We start from the raw sequence: 23,481 nt of genomic DNA, 5'->3' as shown, positions 1-23,481 counted from the left end.
CTCTTTAGAGACAGACAGGCGGGCTCTCAGACCATGAGGTGCCCTCTGGGCTAGTGGGTGCCCAGGGCTGGATGTAATGTAGGGCCTCGCCCACAGGAGGTGCTGGTGGGTACGGACGTGGAGGCCACCACAGGGTGAGGGTGTCCAGACAGAGGACCTAGCATGTGCCCAGGCCCAGGGTGTGACCTGGGGCAGGTGCGGGGCTGCTCTATCTGGAAGGCTTCCTGACTCTGCCAACAATAGGCCGTGGCTGGATCAGGCTTCATGTCAATTTTTAACATTTAATACATTTTGATTATGTAACTAAACATTATTGTGATAAAAATTATGAAATATAGAAAAGTTAAAAACACAAAAGACCAGCAAACACCTTTTCTCCCTAAGTAACTGCTTCAACAGTATTTTCTGACTTTTTTTCCCACGTATCTGCAGCTATAAACATAAGCTGCACAAGATAGTATCCTTCCCCATATTCTGTTTTGGAGCTGGATTTTTCACTCAGCAGTGAATAGAGGCAGGCTTTAAACAGGCCACGCATTGTGAGGGCCCTGGGAAAGGAGACTGACCATGTTGCTGGGTGACCTTGGGCAAGTCTCTCCCTCCTCAGAGCCTGGATTTTCTCAGTCCAGTGAAGGGCAGGAAGGGCTGTAGTAGGACTACATCAGCGCTTCCCAAACTCAGAACCGCCACGTGGAGCTGTGTGAGCTGTCACTGCACAACCCCAGGGGCAGGAGCATTCTTGTCACGGCCTCTGTGAGTGGGGCTCCTGCCCAAAAGTGTGCTGTGCCAACCTGGGGCCCACAGGAGGATTTTAGGCGATACGGGGATGAATTGATTTTTACCATTTCCTTCTATCTGTAGTGAATGAGACCGATTCTCACCGGGAGGGCTTGTTAAACCACAGGTCGCTGAACCCACGCCTCAGAGGTTCTGATTCAGGAGGTCTGGGGTGGCGCCTGAGAATCTGCATTTCTAACAAGTTCTCAGCTGATGGGGATGCTGATGCTGCTGGCTCAGGGACCACACTTTGAGAACCACTAATCACAAATTTCCTTTTATTCATTTATTTATTTAAGGCAGGGTTTTGCTCTGTCTCCCAGGCTGGAGTATAATGGTGCGATCACAGCTCACGGCAGCCTCAACCTCCCAGGCTCAAGCAATCCTCCTGCCTCACTTCCCAAGTAGCTGAAACTATAGGCTCACGTCACCATGCCTGGATATTTTTGTAATTTTTGTAGAGACAGAGTTTCGCCATGTTGCTCAGGCTGGTCTTGAACTCCTGGGCTCAAGCAATTCACCCGCTTTGGCCTCCCAAAGCGAAAGTTTCCTTTTTAAATACATTTATTTAGGTTTTAAAAATGAGTTGACTTAAAGCACATGAATAGATCTTCAACACTAACCACTGGGGAAATGCAATTAAAACCACAGTAAGATATCACTGCATATCTATTAGAACAGCTCAAATCAAACATAGTGATAATATCAAATATTGGCGAGGATGCAGACAAAACTAACTCATACATCACTGATGGGAATATAAAATGGTACAGACTCTCTAGAAAATAGTTTGGCAGCTTTTTTAATTAAACATACACCTCAATATATGACCTAGCAATTGCTTCTGGGCATTTGTACCAGAAAATAAATAAACTGATGTCTGCACAAAAACTCATACATGATTGTTTATGGCAGGTTTATTTGTGATAGCCCCAAATTGGAAACAACCAAATACTCCCCCATAGGTGAATGGTTAAGCAAACTGATACATCCATTCTATGAAATACTATTCAACAATAAAAAGGGGGCCAGACACGATGGCTCATGCCTATAAACACAGCACTTTGGGAGGCCAAGGCAGGTGGATTGCCTGAGGTCAGGAGTTTGAGACCAGCCTGGCCAACATGGTGTAATCCCATCTCTACTAAAAATACAAAAAAAATAGCTGGACATGGTGGGGGGCACCCGTAATCCCAGCTGCTCAGGAGGCTGGGGCAGTAAAATTGCTTAAACTCGGGAGGCAGAGGTTGCAGTGAGCTGAGATCATGCCTATGTACTGGGCAATAAGAGCAAAACTTCATCTAAAAAAAAAAAAAAAAGGCCAGACATGATGGTGGGTGCCTATAATTCCAGCTACTCAGGAGGCTGAGGCAGGAGAATTGCCTGAACCCAGGAGGTGGAGGGTTGCAGTGAGCTGAGATCATGCCACTGCATTCCAGCCTGGGTGACAGAGCGAGACTCCATCTCAAACAGAAAAAAAAACAATAAAAAGGAACATGCACAACTTGGACGGATCTCAAAGGGCATTTGCTGAGTACAAAAAATAAAAAGCCAGTCTCAAAAGGCCACATACTGTGTGATTCCATTTATATAATGTTCTTTTTTTCTTTGTTTGGTTTTGTTTTTTTTGTTTGTTTTTTTTAGACAAAGTCTCACTCTGTGGCCCAGACTGGAGTGCAGTGGCACAATCTCGGCTCACTGCAGCCTCCGCCTCCTGGGTTCAAGTGATTCTCATGCCTCAGCCTCCCAAGTAGCTGGGAGTACAGGCGCGCACCATCATGCTGGCTAATTTTTGTATTTTTAGTAGAGACAGCGTTTTGTCATGTTGGCCAGGCTGGACTCAAACTCCAGGCCTCAGCGGTTCCACCTGCCTCGGCCTCCCAAAGCACTGGGATTATAGGTGTGAGCCACCATGCCAGATCTTCTTTCATTCATTCATTCATTCATTGAGAGTCTCACCCTGTCTCTCAGGCTGGATTGCAATGGCAGGATCACTGTAGCCTCCACCTCCCAGGTTCAAGTGATTCTCCTGCCTCAGCCTCCATGTAGCTGGAACTACAAGCTAACGCCATCACGCCTGGCTAATTTTTGCATTTTATAATGTTCTTGAAGTGAGAAGATTATAAAGACAGAAAGCAGATTAGTGGTTGCCAGGAGTAGGAATAGTGGAGGGGAAGAGCCAGGAATGAGTGCAGAGTAATAGCAGGAGTGGAATTTTCGTGGTGTCGGAACAGTTCTCTATCTTGATCGTAGCGGTGGTTAAAGGAGTCTACATATGTGATAAAATGGCATAGACATAGTCATGTGACATTGTTAGATATTGTCCTACATTTATACAAAATAGAACCTTTGGAGGAAACTGAGTAAAAAGTACATGAAACCTCTCTGTACCATCTTTGAAATTTCCTCTGAATCTATATTTCCAAATAAAGGGTTAACATTTTTAAAGTTGCTTTAGACAAAAATATTAAATAAAAATAATGTTGATTGTATGCAGGTCTGGCAAACCTTTGAATGACTGGCATCTCTAATCCATCCAATGCACAATTGCCCCTGGCCAGGCCCTGTCCTAGGCTAGGTCACCTGCTAAAAGATAGGACTCTGGATTCTCTCTTTCTTGGCTTTGGGGTAGAGATGCCAGATAAAATATAGGATGCCCAGTTAAATTTAGATTTCTGATTAAAAAATAAACTATATTTTAGTAAGTATGTACCATGCATATTTAGGACATACTTATACTAAAAATTATTTCTCTAAATTCTTTTTTCACCATCTTCACAGGTGTTGATATTTCTCTAAAATCTTTGATGTATGTATGCAGTTACTTTAAAGCTCTTGCCTGCTAATTCCAATGTGTGAGCCATTTATGGGCCCCCTTTTTTTTTTTTTTTTTTTTTTTTTTTTTTTTTGAGATGGAGTTTCACTCTTGTAGCCCAGGCTGGAGTAAAATGCTGCCATCTCGGCTCACTGCAACCTCCACCTCACCTGGCTGGTCTTGAATTTCTGACCTCAGGTGATCTGCCTGCCTCAGCCTCCCAAAGTGCTGGGATTACAGATGGGAGCCACCATGCCCGGCCCTTTTGTTTGTTTGTTTCTTTGAGATAAGATTTCACTCTGTTGTCCAGGCTGGAGTGCAGCGGCATGATCTCAACTCACTGCAACCTCCACCTCCCAGGCTCAAGCCATCCTTTCACCTCAGCCTTCCAAGTAGCTGGGACCACAGGCATGTGCCACCAGCAGTCCTGACTGGTTTTGTGGAAGACAATTTTACCACAGACAGGGTCAGGGGTGGTGGTTTTGGTATGAAACTGTTCCACTTCAGATCATCAGGCATTAGAGTCTCATAAAGAGTGTGAAACCTAGATCCCTTGCATGTGCAGTTCACATTAGGATTCACGCTTCTATGAGAATCTAATGCCTGCTGATCTGACGGGGGGCGGAGCTCAGGCAGTAATGCTCGCTGTCCACCACTCACTTCCTGCTGCGCAGCCTGGTTCCTACCAGGTCACCGACGGGTACAGTCCACAGCCTGGGGGTTATGGGCCCCTGCACACCCCCACACCCAACTCAGTTTTGAATTTTTAGTAGAGATGGGGTTTTGCCATGTAGCCCAGGCTGATCTCAAAGTCTTGAGCTCAAGTGATCTACCTGCCTTGGCCTCCCAAATTGCTGGGATTACAGGCGTGAGCCACCATGCACAGTGGGTCAGTTCGTATTGACTGGTTTTCTCTTAATTGTAGGATATATTTTCTCACTTTTTCTCATGTCTTCTAAGTATTTCTTGAGCTGTTGGACATTGTGAACCTTCATTGTAGAGATGTGGGTTATGTTATCCTACTCCAGTGTTGAGTTTTATTTTGGCAGGGAATTAAATTACTGATGGGTTAACTTGATCACGTGTGTCAAGGCTACATTTTAGGTTTTGTTAGCGTGAGCTGGTTTTTAGTTTTGACCTTATTCCTAGAGAATCTTCCTTAATCCCAAGGCATGGCCTTCTAGGCCCTCCTGTGAATGTCTGGGATATTCATCAAGTCCTGAGATTCCAAGAGTGGAGATGCTGGCTGAGCCAGAATTCAGATGTGTTTCCAGCACTCTGTGACCACTGAAATCGCTGTTTAGCTCTCAGCTCCCCATCGGCTGTTCTGTGCTAGGCCTTGCAGAGTCTCAATCCACACATTCATAGTTTGGGATTTGGCCAAGGACCTGCAGCAACCTCTATAAGATTTCTGGGGCTCCTTCTCTGCAACTCCATCCTTTCTGATACCCTGCCACACACATTTTAGCAGCCCTGAGCAGCAGTCTCCGTTTCCTCCACCAAACAAGACTGATCCTTTGCCTGGACTCTGCTTCCTCGTGCTGTCATTGAGGGTTTTGAAACTTTCCCCACCAGAAAAATGTAGCAGTAACTTCATGTGATTCCCTTCTCTCAGATTGTACCTGGAACTGCCTATTGCCCAATGGCTGAAGACAATTTCTTCATGTACTTTGTCCAGCTTTGTAGTTGTTTATGCTGGGAGACCATCATCAATACAGGTACTCCATCATGGCCACAATTCGAAGTATGATTAATATCATATTCATTCTATTCTAAAAGTAGAGAAGACAAAGACCAAAAATTCTAAGAAAAATGGAAAGTTCAAACTGGAAAAATGAAAATTCAAAGAAAAAGAAACACAAATGCTGCTGACACACAGGAAAAAATGTTTAACTTCTCTGGTAATAAGAAAGATACAGTTTCAGGCCAGGCACAGTGGCTCACACCTGTAATCCCAGCACTTTGGGAAGCTGAGGTGGGAGGATCATTTGAGGCCACAAAGTGGAGGTGGCAGTGAGCCGAGATGGTGCCACTTGGGGTGACAGAGTGAGATCCTGTCTCAAAAAAAAAAAAAAAGATACAGATGTAAACAACATCCTGCAACCTCTACATGTGGCCATGACTGATAACAGGGACCAGATTTGCCTCCCACCTTTAATAACTAGAAAAATGGAACAAAATATAAAACAATAGTTTTCAGACATCGGAGAACAGGTCGAGCAGAACTATGATCCCTAAAAGAAGGTGAACCCTAGAGTGTCCTCGGTTTACTGCCGGAAGCAATTACAGGCTCCAACACAGGGAGGGGAATCCAAAGTCCGGTGGTCTTGGTGGATTGAGGAGACAGAGATCAGAGCTTGGGAAGATCTTCAAGGCCGGTAGAATTTGTGAGGTAGAGTACCAGGGAGGAGGTGGGAGAAGAGAGCGCGTGAACTCTGGAGAGCTATGGAAGATGCCCTCAAGCCTTTGGCAAAGGGCTGATAGGGACATATGTGAGAAGAAAGTACCCAGGGAAAGAACTGCCAGAAAGCAGACAGAAGAATCCCCAGAGCTCACAACAGGCTAGAGAGAATTCATATTCTCACTAGTCAGAATGAAAATACCTCATAATACTTAGGAAATGGAAGAGAAGCTTTAAAAAACTATTGCCTTAATAGTGGGGCTAAATGAGCACTGGAGTAAAGACTTCTCTGAAACTGTCCTAACAAAGATTGAAAGCAAACCTTTGTAGATCCAACTTATTTCAAATAACTTAACTAGTGCTGGAACACAGTCCCACACTATTTAAAGCAAAACAAAATCCAGCAGTCACAACACAAAAACACAGTCAATAAAAAATTACCAGGCAATGGCCAGGCACAGTGGCTCATGCCTGTAATCCCAACACTTTGGGAGGCCAAGGCGTGCAGATTGCCTAAGGCCAGGAGTTCAAGGCCAGCCTGGCCAACATGGCTAAATGCTGTCTCCACTAAAAATACAAAAATTAGCCAGGCGTGGTGGTATGCAACTGTAGTCCCAGCTACTTGGGAGGCTGAGACACGAGAATCACTTGAACCTGGGAGATGGAGATTGCAGTGAGGCGAGATCACATCACTGAACTCCAGCCTGGGTGACAGAGTAAGACCCTGTCTCCAAAAACAAACAAACAAACAAACAAACAAAACAAAAGAAAAACACAGGCAAAATAGGGCCTATAACCAGGAGAGAAATAAATCAATGGAAATAGGCCCAGAAATGACAAAGATGATGTAATTAGCAGATAAAGACATTAAAAAACATATTATAAATATGCTCCATATGTTCAAGAAGGCTAGAAAAATCTGAACATGATGAGAAGAGAGAAATGGAAGATGTATTAAAAAAAAAAAAAACACAGGCTGGGTGTGGTGGCTCACACCTGTAATCCCAGTGCTTTGGGAGGCTTAGACACAAGGATTGCTTGAGCCCAGGAGTTTAAGACCAGCCTGGGCAACATAAGAAGAGATATCTCTATAAATAATTTAAAAATTAGCCAGGCATGGTGGCATGAACCTGTAGTCCCAGCTACTCACGAGGCTGAGGCAGGAGGATCACCTGAACACAGGAGGTCGAGGTTGCAGTGAGCTGTGATTGTGCCACTGGACTGCAGCCTTGGCAACACAGTGAGACCTTGTCTCAAAATAAAACAAAAAAGAATTACTGGACATGAAAAAGTTAACTCTGCAGATAAGGGATTAAAAGCAGTTTTAAAAAGTCAGTGAGGCCAGGTGTGGTAGTTCATGCCTGTAATCATCCCAGCACTTTGAGAGGCAGAGGCAGGAGGATTGCCTGAGGCCAGGAGTTTGAGACCAGCCTGGGCAACACAGTGAGGCCTCATCTCTACAAAAAACAAAAAACAAAAAACAGAATAAAAAATTTTTAAAAAATTTAATGAAGACAAAATAAAGACTTTTTCACACAGACAAAAGCCAGGATAATCACCAGCAGGCCTGCACTCTGTGAAGTGTTAAAAGCAGTTCTTTGGTCAGAAGAAAAATGACACTGGATAGAAATTTGGTTCTACACAAAGGAATGAAGACCACTGACATAATAAATACATGGATAAATAGAAAAGATCCTATTTTCTCATTTTTTGATGTCTAGAAATAATTGACTGAGGCAAAAGTAATAACATTGTGGGGTTTATAACGTGTGGAAGTAAAATGATGATGAGAATGGCACAAGGGACAGGTGGGGAAATGTAAGAATACCATCATTATAAGGTGGCGGTCACAGTTGAGGGAGGTGATAAATCTCTGTGATTCCACCTGGAATACTGCATTGCTCCCGGAAGTGGGAAGAGGTAGTTTCAGAGACTTCCCCTGGGCTCTTCCTACTATAGTGGCTCATACCCACAGGTCAGGGAGTAAAGTGAGAGCTCTGTTAGCTTCTAAGCATACTCATATCAATTGCATATTTAGGGACAGAGAAATGACAACCGGATGGGGCTGTGGCCTCTTCATCCAGGGATCCATTTATTACCTAGATTTCACATGTCCTCAGTCTTGTTGGGGAGGGGACATGGTGGCATTGTGGATCTTATGGTGTCAGGGTCAGCTCTAATCCTATATAAATGGCCCTCAAACAGTCTGGGTATTCCCTTTTCATCAGCTACAGTTACTTTCATCAATGACCCCAGATCCCTTTGGAGAATAATTAATGAATACCATGTGGTAATGTTGCAGGATCTTTTTCCAAGAATACCCAGCCTCCCCTACAATCCATGAGCTATAGGTCTCAATTGTCTCAGTCTGAAAACTGGCTAGGAAATTGTAATTTTTTGTTGCAGCCTTCCATGTGCCAGATCTTGTTGTTGTTGTTTCCTGAATACACAAATCAGGAAATATCCTAGGGCTCACACCTGTAATCCCAACAATTTGGGAGTCCAAGGCAGGAGGATTGCTTGAGCTCAGGAGTTTGAGACCAGTCTAGGCAACATAGCAAGACCTCATCTTCACTAAAAATTAGAAAAAAATATAGCCAGGCATGGTGGTGCATGCCTGTAATCCCAGCTACCTGGGAGGCTGAGGTGGGAGGATCGCTTGAGCCCAGGAGGTTGAGGCTGCAGAGAGCTATGATTGTGCCACTGCACTCCAGACTGGGCTACAGAGTAAGATCCTGTCTCAAAAAAACCCAAAATACCCTAATCAACTGCCTATGTAACTCTCCCCTGGAATGCCATCAGTTTGTAGCTAACACAACAGCTCCCTGGAGGTCAAGGCATCCTGGCTGTCACTCTAGCCTTCCTACCAATTAAGTTAATTACATCCACCTTGTGGATGATGGTGAAGGGCCACCACCTGGCATCCGCTGTTCTCACCTTCCACCGTTCCCACTGACACCACGAAGCCTGGTCTCATGGCAGCATCTCCTCTTGTCGATCCTGGCCTACCAAGGATAGTGCCACTGAGTCTCTTAAAGATTCAGGTGCCCTTCTCACTAGTGCCTTCCTTGTTAGCCTAGAGAGGGGAGTTCCTGTGAGCCCTCCAAGGGCACACAGTCAAGTGGTGGATTCCGAATCTGCTGGCATATAATGAACCATTCCAACATTCCTACCTCCCTGTACTTTCCTGCTTCTTTGATGCTTTGCGAATGCAGTTCTATAATCTCCTCCTAATTCACTGAAGCAACTGTTCTGTCCACATTTCAAGGAGCCACTCAGCAGTGTGTTGGAGCCCCAGGTGTCTTTGCCAAGCCATTAAATCCTGAGAGTGCTCCCAGGTCACTGTATTCTCGTGTATACAGCCTTTAGTCTCCCCCTGGTCCAACACCCTTATGTCCACTCCTCCACCTCCTCTCTCAGATTCTGCCAGTACATACTTTGTGACATTTTTGGCAAAAATATTATTCTCCCAGAGCAGATTGTGCTTGTGACCTTAGGCCATGATGAGGAATGACCATAGCCTGGTGTCAATGTGGGGCAGCAATGACGACACACTTCATCCTGCTGTAAGGCCTTGTTGGAGGCTCTTTGCCTAGTTTCCAGGCAAGGGGCAGCTGCCCTTCTCTTAGCAAGGAAAGAGCATTTCTTCTTTTAGATCAGAGCATTTAGTGGAAACTGGAGGTTCAAAGTTCTCAGATGTATCCACTTAAGTTTTCCCATACCAGATATCAGGATCCCATTGCTCCTTTCCCCTTCTCTCCTCCCCTCTCCCCTTCCCTCCCCTCCCCTCTTTTCTCTCCTCTCTTATCTCTTCTTTCCTCTCTTTTCTCTTCTTTCTTTTCTCCTCTCTTCTTTTTCTTTTCTCTTCTCTTTCTCTGTCTTCTTCTTTCTTTCTCTTTGTTTTTGAGATGGGATCTCACTCTGTCACCCAGGCTGCAATGCAGTGATGTGATCTTGGCTCACTGCAACCTCCGCCTCCCGGGCCCAAGGGATCCTCCCACCTCAGTCTCCTGGGTAGCTGGGACCACAGGCACATGCTACCACATCTGGCTAATTTTCATATTTTTTATAGAGATGGCGTTTCATCATGTTGCCCAGGCTGGTCTTGAACTCCCAGGCTCAAGTGATCCTCCTGCCTCAGCCTCCCAAAGTGCTAGGATTACAGATATGAGCCACTGCACTCACGTCTCCTTTTCCTTAAGTAATTCTAAATAAATACTAGACTAAATCATAAAATAAAATTTGTGTTTTTTTGGGGAAATGACACAAAACTTCCATGACAGCTGACATTAAAATAGTTTATTTCTAGATTTTCTGCTGTGTGTGTGTGTGCGTGCGCACATGTGCACACTTGTCCTTGCTTGGCGCCCTATGTGTGTACTTGCTGTAGCTACTGGGTCAATCTGCACAATGTCTGGCTGCACAATTTCCAGCAAATGAAAGCTCTACACAACCTAATTTTCAAGCAGTCGAGACTGAAGCAGCAGTCTTCTGGTTTGAATTTGAATTAACTGCCAGGCTGTACTTGTGTGGGAAACTGACAATTTTCAGCAAGAAATTTCCAGGTTAGGCCTGTCACCCTCCAGTGTAACTCTAGGGCCTGTTTGGCAGGGGGACTGGCTTTGGCTGGAGGCTGGATCAAGAGGGCTCTCCTGGCATGGCGCGTTCCCATCCCCGGGAGGGAGCTCTGTTGGGAGCATGAGATGAACCAAGAAGACCCATCCATTAGGAAAGTGGCCCTTAGTCTGTCCAGTTTTAATGGAGGAGGATGATTGGTGCAACAACACTTCTGATGGGGAAACTAGTCGGAGACATGGGCATTCATGGTCTTTCCCACATGTGCCCCATTGGGACCCAAACCAGGACCCAAACATGCTGGTGGCTTCCCCCCACAGAAGCACATAATTTTCTAGTTCAAGAGTCTACCAAGTGACTAGCACAGTATAGGTAGAAAGACCTATAACAAGGTACATCACTGAGAAATTCCAAGAACCCAAAGATAGAAAATCCTAAAATCTTCCAGAGAGAAAAGACAGGTCATATGTAAAGAGCCAAGACTCCGCATGACACTGACTTCTTCCCAACAACACTGGGAACTAGAAAATAATAGAGCAATATTTCCCAATGTGAAGAGAAGTTATGTTTAAATTAGAGCATTACATCCAGCCAAACTAGTAATCAGGAATTGGGGTAGAACAATGACATTCTAAAATATGTGAGGGTCAGAAAGCTTGGCTTCCATTCACTGTTTCTCTGGAAGCCACTGGAAGATGTGCTGCAACACAATGAGAGGATAAACCAAGGAAAAAGAAGATCTGGGGCCGGGGAACAGGAGATGCACCCAGAAGTAAGCAAGTAGAGTTGATCTACTGCCTGCTTGAAAAAACTATTTAAAATTCCCAACCCAAAGAAGGCCAGAGCTCTCGTGAATCTGACCCAACAGATTTCGAAGCCAAAGCTGAGGGCATCTGAAGCCAAAGCCAGGCCGGACAGAGATGAGGCTCCTGGGAGGGAACAGGTGCAGTCCTGCTCAGGCTGCAGCGTCCCCGGGCTACAGCTGGACAAGGGCTCCCTCTGGGCCACAGCTTCTAGGGACAGAGTTTGGGGCAGGTTGACTGTCTGATGTGTAGGACTCTGGTGATGAACTCAGCTGGGAAACTGTGTGGTAATGGGAAGGGAATGCTTTTGCTTTTCCAAATATATCCGCTGCATGCTTGGATCCACATTGGAACTCAGTGTGGAAACTGCCTTTGAACAGCCTATGCCTGAACTCTGGGCCATGTGTCCGGTTTCCTGGCCTCCAGCTTTGTTCACTCCTTACCCCCACCCATCACTGATGCCAGATCCATCCTCCCAAATGTCCTTTCATCACGTTACCCTCCCCACCACCTCATGGCACATTCCACACAACAGGAAATGCCTCCCACCTCAGCCTGGCATTCAAGGTTCTTTTGATGTGGCCGCCACTCACCACCCCACCACATCTCCCTGTGGGCCCTGCCAACTTGGATCAATTTTTCCTATCCATGAGCTGAACTTTCCCACCTCCATACTGTTGCTTACACTGTGACTTTCCTGTGCGTGTTCTTTTCCTCCCTCTTCCCAAGTCCAAATGCTATAGACTGAATTGTGTCTCCTCAAAATTCATACTTGGAGCCCTAACCCCCTATATGATTGTATTTAAAAATAGGGCTATTAGGAGGTAATTAAAGTGAAGGGAGGGAGGAGGAGCAGAGCAAGATGGCTGAATAGTAGTCTCTACCAATCATTCCCCCTGCAGGAAAATCAAATTTAACAACTGTTTCCACCAGAAAACCATCATCATAAGAACCAAAAATTAGGCGAGGACTCACAGTACCTGGGTTTAACTTCATGTCGCTGAAAGAGGCACTGAAAAGGTAGGAGAGACAGCCTTGAAACACCAATATCACCCCTCCCCCTCCCCCAGCAGTGGTCGCTGTGGTGCTGAGAATCTGTGCACCTGGGGGAGGGAGAATGCAGCAACTGTGGGACTCTGCCTTGAACTCAGTGCTGCCCTGTCACAGCAGAAAGCGAAACCAGGTGGAACTCACGTGACACCTGCCCATGGAGGGAGCATTTAGACCAGCCCTACCCAGAGGGGTTCACCCATCCCAGTAGTTAGGAGGCTTGAGGCTTGGGTTTTGACAAGCCTTGGCATGGCAGGCTATTATGCCCCAGGGTCCTAAATAAACTTGAAAGCAGTCTAGTCCATAAGGACTTCAACTCCTAGGCACATCCTAATGCCATGCTGGGCTCAGAGCCAGTGGACTCAAGAGGCACACGACCTAGAGAGACACCAGCCAGGACAGCCAAGGGAGTGTTTGTACCACCCCTCCCCCAACCCCAGGCAGTGCAGCTTGCAGCAACAAAAGTGGCTCTTTCCTTTTGCTTGAGGAGAGGAGGGGGAAGAGTAAAGAGGACTTTGTCTTACGTCTTGGATAGCCACAGTAGGATACAGCCCCAGTCAGAGTTGAGAGACCCCCATTCCAGGACCTAGCTCCTGAATTACCTTTCTAGATACACCCTGGGCCAGAAGGGAATCTGCTGCTTTAAAGAAAAGATTCTAGTCCTGGCAGGATTCATCACCTGCTGACTCAAGAGCCCTTGGGCCCTGAATAGCCAACAGTGATACCCAGGTAATGTGCTATAGGCCTGGAGTAAGGCTCTGCGACATGCTGGCTTCAGGTGAGACCCAGCACATTCACAGCTTTGGTGGCTGTGGTGAGAGATTTCTTCTGCTTGAGAAAAGCAGAGGGAAAGGTAAAAGGGACTTTGTCTTGCAGCTTAGGTACCTGCCTGGCCACAATGGGGTAGAGCACTAAATGGGCTCTTGTGGTCACTGATTTTAGGCCTTGGCTCTTAAACAGCATTTCTGGGCCTGCCCTGAGACAGAGGGGGGCCCACTGCCCTGAAGGGTGAGCCCCAGGCCTGGAAGCATTCACCACAAGTGACTTAAGAGCCCTTGGGCCCTAAGTGAACATCGACAGTAGCCTGGCAGCACTCCCTGTGGGCCTGTGGTGGTGGCCACAGGGTGAGGCTCCTCTGCCTGTGAAAAGGGAAAGGCAGAGTGGGAAGGACTTTGTCTCATGGTTTCAGTGTCAGCCCAGCCGCCTTAGAATAAAGCACCAGGTAAGTTTCTAAGGTTTTTGACTGTAGTCCCTGACTCCCAGACAGCATCTCTGGACCCACCAGGGCCTGAGAGAACTCGTTGCCCTGAAGGGAAAGACATAAGCCAGGCTGGCTTTGCCACCTGCTGACTGTAGAGCCCCAGTTACTTGGCTTTGAGTGAACATAGGCGACAGCCAGGTAGTGTTGACAGCGGGCCCTGAGTGAGACCCAGTGCTTTGCTGGCTTTAGGTCTGACCCAGTGCAGTCCCAGTGGTGGTGGTGGCCATAGGGATGTTGTGTCAGCCCACACCCAGCTCCAAGTGGCTCAGCAGAGAGAGAGAGAGAGAGAGAGGGAGAGAGAGAGACTGTTTTTTGGAGAGAAACTACAGGTACAGAATAAGGGTCTCTACTACCTGGTAGCCCAGAGAATTCTTCCAGATCTTATCTGAGACCAACAAGGCAGTTCCTCTATGAGTCTGCAAGAACCATAGCATAACTGGGCTGGAGTGTATCTAATAAAGATACACTTTAGATCACAACACCCACATCCTTTCAAATACTTGGATAGCCTTCCCAAGGGTGGGTACAAACAAGCCCAGGCTGAGAAGACGGTGGCAGTTTGAAATCAGCCATGGAATATTTGCACCACCAAAAATGGCAAACACTACAGAACAGATTTCTGTTCCCTCCCCGACAGAGAGCCCCTTGTGTAACAACAGCACTCCACTGCCCCATCCCTGAGCAGAGCGCTGTGTGTTGCAGCAGAGTGGGGGCAGGTGTCTTCTCCCTTGGGCTACAGAATACATATTTTTTTCCTCAGCATATGGATCATTCTCAAGGATACACCATATCTTAGGTCAAACAACAGGTCTTAAAACATTACAAAAGAGTGAAATAATATCAAACATCTTCTCTGATCACAATGGACTAAAACTAGAAATTAGTAACAACAGAAATGTTGGAAACTATACAAACACATGGAGATCAAATAATATGCTCTGGAATGACGAGTGGGTCAATGAAGAAATTAAGAAGGAAATTGAAACATTTCTTAAATGATAATGGAAACACAACATGCCAGAACCTATGGGATACGACAAAAGCAGTACTAAGAGGGAACTTTATGGCTATAAACACCCACTTTTAAAAAGTTGAAAAGCATCAAATAAACAACTTAACAATGCACCTTAAAGAAATAGAAAAGCAAGAGCAAAGCAAATGCAAAATTACTAGAAGAAAAGAAATAATAAAGATCAGAGCAGAAATAAATGAAATTGAAATGAAGAAAACAAAGCATCAATGAAAAGAATAGTTGGTTTTTGGAAAAGATAAACAACATTGACAAACTTTTAGCCTAAGAAAAAGAGAAGACCCAAGTGAATAAAATCAAAGATGAAGAAGGAAACATTACAACTGATACTGCAAAAATTCAAAGGATCACTAGTGGCTATTATAAGCAACTATATACAAAGAAATAGGAAAACCAACTAAAAATGGATCAATTTCTAGACACATCCAGCCTATCAAGATTGAACCATGATGAAATCCAAAACCTGAACAGACGAGTGACAAACAATGAGATCGAAATGGTAATAAAAAGTCTCCCAGCAAAGAAAAGCCTGGGACCTGGTGCTTCACTGCTGAATTCTACCAAACGTTTAAAGAAAAACTCATATCAACCTTACTCAAACTATTCCAAAACTAGAGACCTTACCCAAACTATTCCAAACTCATTCTACAAGGCTAGTATTACCTTGATACTAAAACCAAAGATACATCCAAAACAGAGAACTACAGGCCAATATCACTGATGAATATTGATGCAAAAATCCTCCACAAAATATTAGCAAATTGAATCCAACAACACATTAAAGTTGGGGTGCAGTGTCCCAGGTTCACTCAACCCTTCCCCTTTTCCTGTGTCTAGTTTGGTTGTGCTTCCAGGTGGCAGCAGTGGTGGCAATGTTGGTATGTGGGCCTCCCAGGACAAAGGGAAAGTGAGTGTGCCCTTCTTGCCTCCTGCCAGGCATCTGTAGCCTGGCACCAGCTCTGGCCAGGTCTTCAAGCAAGGGACATGGAGATGTTCCTTTCCAATTTCTGGATTGGGAAATGGAGGCAAATTATGGGTACTAGAGTCAGAACTAAGACGAGGCTGAATCGGGGGAGCCCAAGGTCCCGAGAGGCAGAGACCTGAAACCCTCTAGAGCATGTGGGGAGCTGGATGTGTGTTCTGGCCAGTTGCTTCTCCCTGTGCCTCAATGTTCCAGGTACCCTTGGAGGGGCTGAGATCCTGGGGATGTCTGGAGCCTGGCTGCATGGCCTGGCCACCCTGATGCCCTTCTTGTAGGGGCATACACAGAACAAACAGGGCAGGGTGGTGGAGTGCAGCCCCTTCCCTTGGGGCCTCAGAGAGTGCACCTGTTGGTCACAGGTGAAATGGTGTCTGATCACTGGCTCCCGGAAGGGGTGAGGGTCCAGAGAAATCAGACGGTGGGGAGATGAAGAGCATAAGGGGGTCTGGGAGGGACCACAGAGGAAGGTGGCAAAGGAGGTGCAGGGGGAGTCAGCTCACCATGGCCTCCCGGCTCTCCAGGTCCTCCAGGATGCTCGGAAGGGGCTAAGGCACCTCCTCCTCCTCACTGTCCAGATGTCCTCCTCCATCTGTAGGGTTTGGCCAAAGGGGTCTTCAGACAACCCAACAAGGGAGGTACTGTGGGGCCACCTCTGCCCCCACCCTCACTGTGTAACCCTGAGCCAGCCCCTCCCCAGAGGGAAATGAGCTGCTGTTCTTTTTTTTTTTTTTTTTTTTTTTTTTACTATTTTTTTACTTTTATTTTTACTTTTAAGAACCAAGATCTTGTTATATTTCCCAGGCACAGTCCCACTACCAGTCAGTGTGGGAGTTCTGACCTGCTCCCTTTCTGATCTGGGCCAGTTCACCCATCCTTAGGCAACCTGGTGGCCCCCTGCTCCCCAGGAGGTCACCATATTGATACCAAACTTAGTGCAGACACCCGGTCGGCATAATGACTAGCTGTTCTAAAGGTCTGTTCCAACTCCTCAGTCCTATGCTGCTAACAATCCCCCCTCCTTCCTCCTGGGGCTCTCTCTTCTTCCTCTAAGTGATCTCCTGTACTTTCTCCAGGGAGAGCCATGAGGCTCAACTGGGCCTCTAGCTGCTGTTTCTGCTGGCTGGCAGCTTCTAGGCACTCCTAAGGGGCCAGGAAAGAGAGTGAGAAGGCACAGAAGATGCAGGTCATCCCTCTTGGGGCCCCGTCCTCAGCAACTCCCTCCCCTGAGTCTCCTGCAGTTTTTGGTGGGCCATCTCAGCCATCGGTTTGCCCCAAGCTTCCTGCTGCTGCAGCTGGTCCACGAGCTGGGTCTGCAGCAGTAACTGCCTGTGCAGCGCCTCCTTCTCAGAGGTCAGCTGCTGACAGGTGGCCACGTACTGCTGCAGGTGACCCAGGTACTAGTCTCGCTGCTGCTGCAGACTCTGAGACTCTTGGCTCTTCAGCTCCACTTGCAGGAAGACCCTGGGCGTGAGGGCACATGGTGGCTGGCTTCCAGATTCTGGGCCCATTAATAGGGTAGCGAGGGCACCGTGGGGCTCTGTCACCTGCCCAGGCCCCTGGCCGCTTGCTCCAGGCCTTAGAGAATTCCTCCCTTGCCTAGAACTCCATGCCTCCTTCCTCAGCCTCAAATCTCATGTCCTTCTTCCCACCATTTAAACTGTAGGCCACAGACTGGTGGAAAAGCAGAGGGAGCCAACCACCATCTGCTAAGTGTGCTACATGCCTAATGCTTTCCAGGTATTCTCTCATTCAATCCTCAGCACCTCTGCAAGGAAAATGCTAACTTCCTTTTGAAGTTAAAGAAACAGAGACTTAGAGATGAAAAGTAGTTGAACGGTGACCAGAGGAACCCAGGCCAGAATCCAGTTTGAATCTAAGGAGGCTTTATTGTTTTGTTTTGAGACAGTGTCACTCTGTGGCCCAGGCTGGAGTGCAGTGGTGCAATCTCAGCTCACTGCAACCTCCACCACGTGGGCTCAAGCGATTCTCGTGCCTCAGCCTCCTGAGTAGCTGGGATTACAGGCATGCGCCACCATGCCTGGCTAATTTTTTTTTGTTGTTGTTGTAATTTTAGTAGAGATGAGGTTTCACCACGTTGGCCAGGCTGGTCTCAAACTCCTGACCTCAAGTGATTCTACTGCCTCAGCCTCCCAAAGTGCTGGGATTATAGGCGTGAGCTACTGCCCCCAGCAAAGGAGCCTCTTATACCACTGTCTCTTCCCCTATGATTGGGGGCTCCATGCCTCTAGCTGGGATGATGATGTCCAGACCTGGGAGGAGCCCAGGGCTACCTACCTCTAAAAGTCAGAGGGCAGGAAGCAAGAAACAGTCACAGGACTGCCCTGAAGGGTGCTGGCGTCACCTGCCTCCAGGCTGGAGCTGCCTTTGGCCTCACACTTCCCTTCTCCAGAGACTGGTGCCCGCCTCCCAGCCCTTCTTGGATGGGGCGGAGGTTACCGTCTCCTTCAGGTCACCCAGCTTCTCCTGCAGCAACTTTACTTGCTGCTCCAACTGCAGTGCGCCCTTGCTCTCTTTGTTCTGGACAAAGAGAAGCAATCAGCGGTCACCCACTGCAGCTGGAGACCCCAGAACTTGATGTCTGCCTCCCATGTCACCGGGAAGGGTGGAGGCAAGTTAGAAAAATCATTCCCTCTCTCTCACAGCCATCAGAGCAGGGCTCTGGCTCACAGGTTCCTTTAGAAGTACCATTTCACGTGAGGGCTACATATGCCCATTTTACAGGTGGGGAAACAAAGGCCTGGAGGGCTAGGGAGGAAGGCAGGCTCCCCAGGTGGGGCAACCCACCAGCTCCTGGAAGTCGTACTGTGGCTCGCCCAGCTGCTTATCAAGCTCGTGGTTCTGCGAGAGCATGTGGCTGATGGTGGTGCAGTCATTCCGCATGGTTTGCATGTGTGTCTCTGCCTGCTCGTCCCAGAGCTTGGCTTTCTGCTCCAGTTCCAGCAGCCTCTCCTCCTGCTCCCTCAGCCTCTGCTCCTGCTCCCACAGCCTCTCTTCCTCTTCCCTCAGCCTCTCCTCCTGCCTTTGCAGCCTCTCCTCCTGCTCCAGCAGCCTCTCCTTCTGTAGCAGCCTCTCCTCCTGCTTTCTCAGCCTCTCCCCCTGTTCCTGCAGCCCCTCCTGCTCCAGCAGTCTCTCCTGCTCCAGCAGTCTCTCCTCCTACTCCCGCAGCCTCTCCTCCTGCTCCCGCAGCCTCTCCTGTTTCAGGACTGTGTGGAACAGTTCTTTTAAAAACCAGACCACAGGCTTGGAAATGACTTGATCTTTACCGACCGAGTTGTATATTGAGCCTACCCCTTGCCCTTTTAAGGGGCACTGTGTAGAATGGCCTGGGCTCCCCAGATATAAACTTCTCATCTTCACCATCCAGTTCTGGAGCTGCTGTGTGGCCTCTGAGCTCTGCATCCAGTGCTCGCTCCCCACAGTGCCCCCCAACTCACCCACAGCAGCTGACTCAGCCCCAGGCTGCCTCTAACAACCATACACAAAAGCAGCGAGAAATGACCATGCTGCCTTCTGGGCAGGACACTCCATCCTGCAGAAGGGACCTTTAGGCTCACTCCTCTATCTGGGAAGCCAGGCTGCCAGGGGATGGGGCAGCTGGTTGGACTCACCCTGTCCTCCTCCTGCTGCTGCATGGAGACACAGCACAGAGAGCCCACTCCAACTCTCCAATACACTGCAAGGAATATTGCAGGTGGCTGGCCAGATCCTTAGATTCTGCTGTAATGAAAGAGGTTGAGATGGGGCCCAAAGGACTCCCCCTAAAGACCTGTCAAAGTGCCAGGTTGAAGGATGATGGGGTGCCCAGATTCCCACCTTCAAAGTGCCGGGCAGCACGTTTAGTATGGTAAAGGGTGGTCTTCAAGTCTGCTTTTTCCAACATGAGGATGTTGATTGTCTGGAATTGAACCTTTGGGAGAAAAGCCAAGCAAGTGCTGAAAGAGAAGGAAAGAAACATTCTCCAGAGGACAGGAGAAAACTCCCCACCCTCCACTCACCTCTAACTGCTCCATTTGTGCTTTGTGTATTTCATTGTTGGTTTTCTTTTCCTACAGGAAGAGGAAGACAGAGCTCTTACCAGGGGGAGGCAGAGATGGCACAGCAAGAGACATGCCCCCAGAATGCCACCAATGCCCCAGGACAGGCCCACCCATGGGACCAGGTTATCGGGATAACCTGGGAGGATGGGGTGGAATCTGAGGGGTGAGCCTTCTTCCCCAGGCTGGAAGTGGGCGACACGAGACTGGCACCTCTACATCTGATTGTCCCCCAAACCCAGCATTTATGTCGTGAGCAAAGAAAGAAATCATGTTACTTCTTCCAGCTGATGTTCCACTTGTTTCTTCTGCTGTTTCTGTGGGGAGAGTCAAATTCAGGTGACTGAGGGTGGCCCCCTCAGCTCTATTCCCCAGACCAGGAAGCGGTAGGCAGGGGCCAGGAATGGATTTTAAAGGCAAAGTTCTCAGACCCAATGGCAACACAAACTGGTCAACTCTCCTCAAGCTCCCAAGGACACAGGATGTGGGTCTTTGTTGGTTTTTGCCCACAGCCACAGAACTCAAAGTCTGAATCTGGATTCTCTCAAAAGGACAGTAACATAAACCTCCAGAGACGGAGTCTGAGAAAGGCCCACCCTTCTGCCAGCTTGTGATTTAGAAAGGTGCGTTCATTCAATGAACATTTACTGAGCACACACAGGCCAGGTACAGTTCTTCACAACAGAGATACAGGACAGAAAAGGACAGACAGGAGGCCTTCGCCCTGAGGTTTCCATTCTAGGGGACTTTAAATCTCAGACTCTCAGAGCTAACAGAGACCTTTGATACTCTCTACCTCCTCTGGAAACACAAGCCCAAGGAGGAGAGGTGGCTTGTCCAGACTCAAGGGCAAATTAGAGACTGAGTCAGGGCAGAAATATGGGGCCCCTGACAACCAATCAGGCTAGCGCTTCCCTGAGAGGTGACAACCCCAGGGCGTGTGTGGCAAGGACTGGAGCAGGGGTACCTGAAGAAGAGAGAGTCAGCAAAGAGGGCAGCAATGGAAGAGCCATGCTGCATGCTCCTTGCTCTGGGGTCCCTCTAGGTGAGGCATGGGCACCCCAGCTCTCCATTTGTCCTTGGCACCAGGGGCCCCCAGCCCCTTTATTCAGGGCCCCAAGGGGAAACTGGAGCCCAGGATTGGCAGAGTGGAATCAGGGGACTCTACTGGACTCTTACCAATGACTATGTTTTCAATGAGTTGACTGATTGTTGCAGAGCTCAAGTCCAGGGCTACTGCTAGTTCTTGGTACCGGCTCTGAGGTGCATACAGAGAGGAGGAGTTGGAGGAGGACTGCAGGGAGAGGTAGAGAGAACAATCATTAGGGCTGGGGTGTGTGTGGGCTGTCTCAGCTGGCAGAGGGGCACCCAGCCCCCACTGTGAGAGGAGGTTGGAGGGCTGGCCTGCAGGGTCACTGCACCTCAGCCTAGGGCCTCTTACCTCCAGATCCTTTAGGGTAGCAGATGATGCAGGGGTAATAAAAATGAGAAATTCAAAGAAACAAAAACTTCCATGGGAAACAGTTATGGATATAGAGAAAGTATAAAAACAGCAAGGGACTGGGCACGGTGGCTTGCGCATGTAACTCCAGCACTTTGGGAGGCTGAGGCTGGTGGATCACTTGAGGTAAGGAGTTCAAGACCAGTCTGTCCAACATGGTGAAACCTCGTCTCTACTAAAAATACAAAGATTAGCTGGGCATGGTGGCAGGTGTCTGTAATGCCAGCTACTGAGGAGGCTAAGGCAAGAGAATCGCTTGAACCTGGGAGGCAGAGGTTGCAGTGAGCAGAGATTGTGCCACACCACTGCACTCCAGTCTGGGTGACAGAGTGAGACTCTGTCTCAAAAAAAAAAAAAAAGCCCCAAATCCCATATTCCTGCTTTGTACATTATTCCCAAATTACTTTTAAACTTTAAGGTATGTCTCACCATTTCCAAGATGATAAAAGATGCTGGAAAGGAAAAAAACTCAATCAATCAAGCAAGTGAAGAAGCAGACATAAACAGGCTGAAGGTTAATGGCAGCAACATAAAATAAGCCAGAGGCAAAGTATCCCCCAAACCAGAGAAGCCTCAGGAACATGCATAGCTGGAGACAGCAAGCCAGAGAGGGGTCTGGGCACTGCCTCACCTTCCACTTGTCCAGTCGAGGAGTGCTACCCCATTGGAGTAGTTAAGGTTGGACACCAGCACCTTCGGAATGTCCTGAATCTACAGGAGATGAAAAGGGAAAAACAAGGGCAGGGGGAGAAAGACAGAAGTGGCTTAGAGAGAAGCAAGAAAGTCAGGGTAGGAGAAAGATGTGGATTCAGGGAAAGGAAACGCTGAAGAAGAGCAGAGGAGATTAAAACCATGGCCTGTGCCATTCTTCCAAATGGCCACCTGCTGCCTTGCCAGGGGCAGGAACAAATAGATGGAAAAGTCCCCTGAGTGACGCAGTCACAGAGTGGAGTCAGCTGACCAATGCACCTCTCAATACGCTCACTGGACCCCTCTCCTCAGGCCCAGGACATGGGCGATGAATGTGGTAGAGCTCCAGACCTCCACTTCTGTTAAAAAAAAAACCAGACTTCTGAGTAAGGGTTCAGTTGAGCTAAGGTGACTCCAGGTGAAAAACAAGTTTGAAAGACACTGATCTTATCCAGTATCATGTTATAGAGGAGAAAACTGAGGCTCAGGGGAAATAGTGATTTTTCTGTGGTCACCCAGCAAGCTGGTGGCAAGTAAGATCTTCTCTTACACCACACGTGGGGCCCTTTCAGTGACTTCTAAAGGGATAGGCTGATGGCAAGTGGCTTTTCTCATTGGCCTGGCTTCCCCTTGAGACTGGGGCGAGGAAAATCAAACAGCAATGACCATTTCCTGGGTGTCCTGTGTGTTTACAGCAGGCTATGTACTAGGGATTCACATAAAAACAACAACAAATTTCATTTAAACTTCACAAATGGAAGTCAAACAATACCACCTCTATTATACAGATATGAAAAGAGAGGCCCAAAGAGCTCAAGTAACTTGCCCTAAATCATATCCCCAGCAGACAGAGAGGCAGGATTCAAACCCAGAATTTTTAACCAGTACCCAGCAATCTTAACAATTACCCTCTACTGCCCCTTGGGCCCCCTGTCCCCAGGAGCCTGGCCAGCCAAAACTCACATCCCCAGGTGAGTGGCAACCACCAGAAGTGGTTGTCTTAGTCCTTGGAGATGCCAGGCCAAAGAGCCCAGGGAGGTCAGGCTTGGGAGGGGGCAGGAGGTCAGGGCCTAGTCTGGAGCAGGGAGCCCCAGGAGTCACCTGCCCCAGTAGTCACCCTGGGGTGACTGTTGAGGGCAGGGGCTGGGCTGCTGAGGGAACAGCGCTGGCTAACAATATTTTGGTAGGGGGAGTGCAGAGGCACCAGGGGGGCCTAACCCGGTGTGCCTCAGGAGTGGCACAGACTCTGGCAGTAGTCCTGCCGTCAGAGGAAGTCTGCAGGTGGGTCAGGGGCTATGACCTGGTGGTTTTTACCTTTTTCTTGGCTGCAGCCAATTTGCTCTGTTGAGTTTCTTCCTACATGGTGGTGTGGGGAGGGAGGCGGGGTTGGGGCCACATCAGCGCAATCCAGGCAAGACTGCTAAACACCTCCGGTCACCTGCCAGGTAGCTGTGCAACTGAGTCAGAGGAGGGATAACCAGGGCCACACTAGAACACAGAATAGGGGCATGGCCTCAATGCTGCCAAGCCCATTGGTTGAT

At 48.0% G+C, this 23,481-nt stretch overlaps 1 long non-coding RNA gene and 1 pseudogene across 2 annotated transcripts in view, besides 3 other annotated features; one reads left to right on the top strand and one right to left on the bottom strand.

The window, feature by feature from the left end:
- Positions 1-70: an enhancer, noted in NCBI's record as "active region_9726". NCBI's record gives its function as "activates an Ori minimal core promoter by ATAC-STARR-seq in GM12878 lymphoblastoid cells {active_cell/tissue: GM12878}" and the evidence as "EXISTENCE:reporter gene assay evidence [ECO:0000049][PMID:35858748]".
- Positions 1-20,040, top strand: part of LINC02259 (long intergenic non-protein coding RNA 2259) — a 28,475-nt gene extending 8,435 nt beyond the window's left edge. The window contains exons 3-4 of one of the 2 annotated variants that reach the window (NR_135684.1): positions 12,274-12,391; positions 19,768-20,040. This is a non-coding gene — a long non-coding RNA (long intergenic non-protein coding RNA 2259). The remainder of the gene's footprint in view (positions 1-12,273; positions 12,392-19,767) is intronic. The other variant, NR_135685.1, reaches the window with a different exon arrangement.
- Positions 12,541-12,680: an enhancer, noted in NCBI's record as "active region_9725". NCBI's record gives its function as "activates an Ori minimal core promoter by ATAC-STARR-seq in GM12878 lymphoblastoid cells {active_cell/tissue: GM12878}" and the evidence as "EXISTENCE:reporter gene assay evidence [ECO:0000049][PMID:35858748]".
- On the bottom strand, positions 16,197-23,343 carry LOC646665 (golgin A6 family member A pseudogene; annotated as a pseudogene).
- Positions 18,223-18,723: an enhancer, noted in NCBI's record as "H3K27ac hESC enhancer chr15:72902139-72902639 (GRCh37/hg19 assembly coordinates)". NCBI's record gives its function as "activates a minimal SCP1, AML or CMV promoter by ChIP-STARR-seq in naive H9 embryonic stem cells {active_cell/tissue: H9 hESC(naive)}" and the evidence as "EXISTENCE:reporter gene assay evidence [ECO:0000049][PMID:30033119]".

This window comes from Homo sapiens, chromosome 15, assembly GCF_000001405.40.
Source record: "Homo sapiens chromosome 15, GRCh38.p14 Primary Assembly".
NCBI lineage: Eukaryota > Metazoa > Chordata > Mammalia > Primates > Hominidae > Homo > Homo sapiens.
The sequence above is the reverse complement of the archived record's forward strand: the minus strand, read 5'-3'. Positions and strand labels throughout refer to the sequence as shown.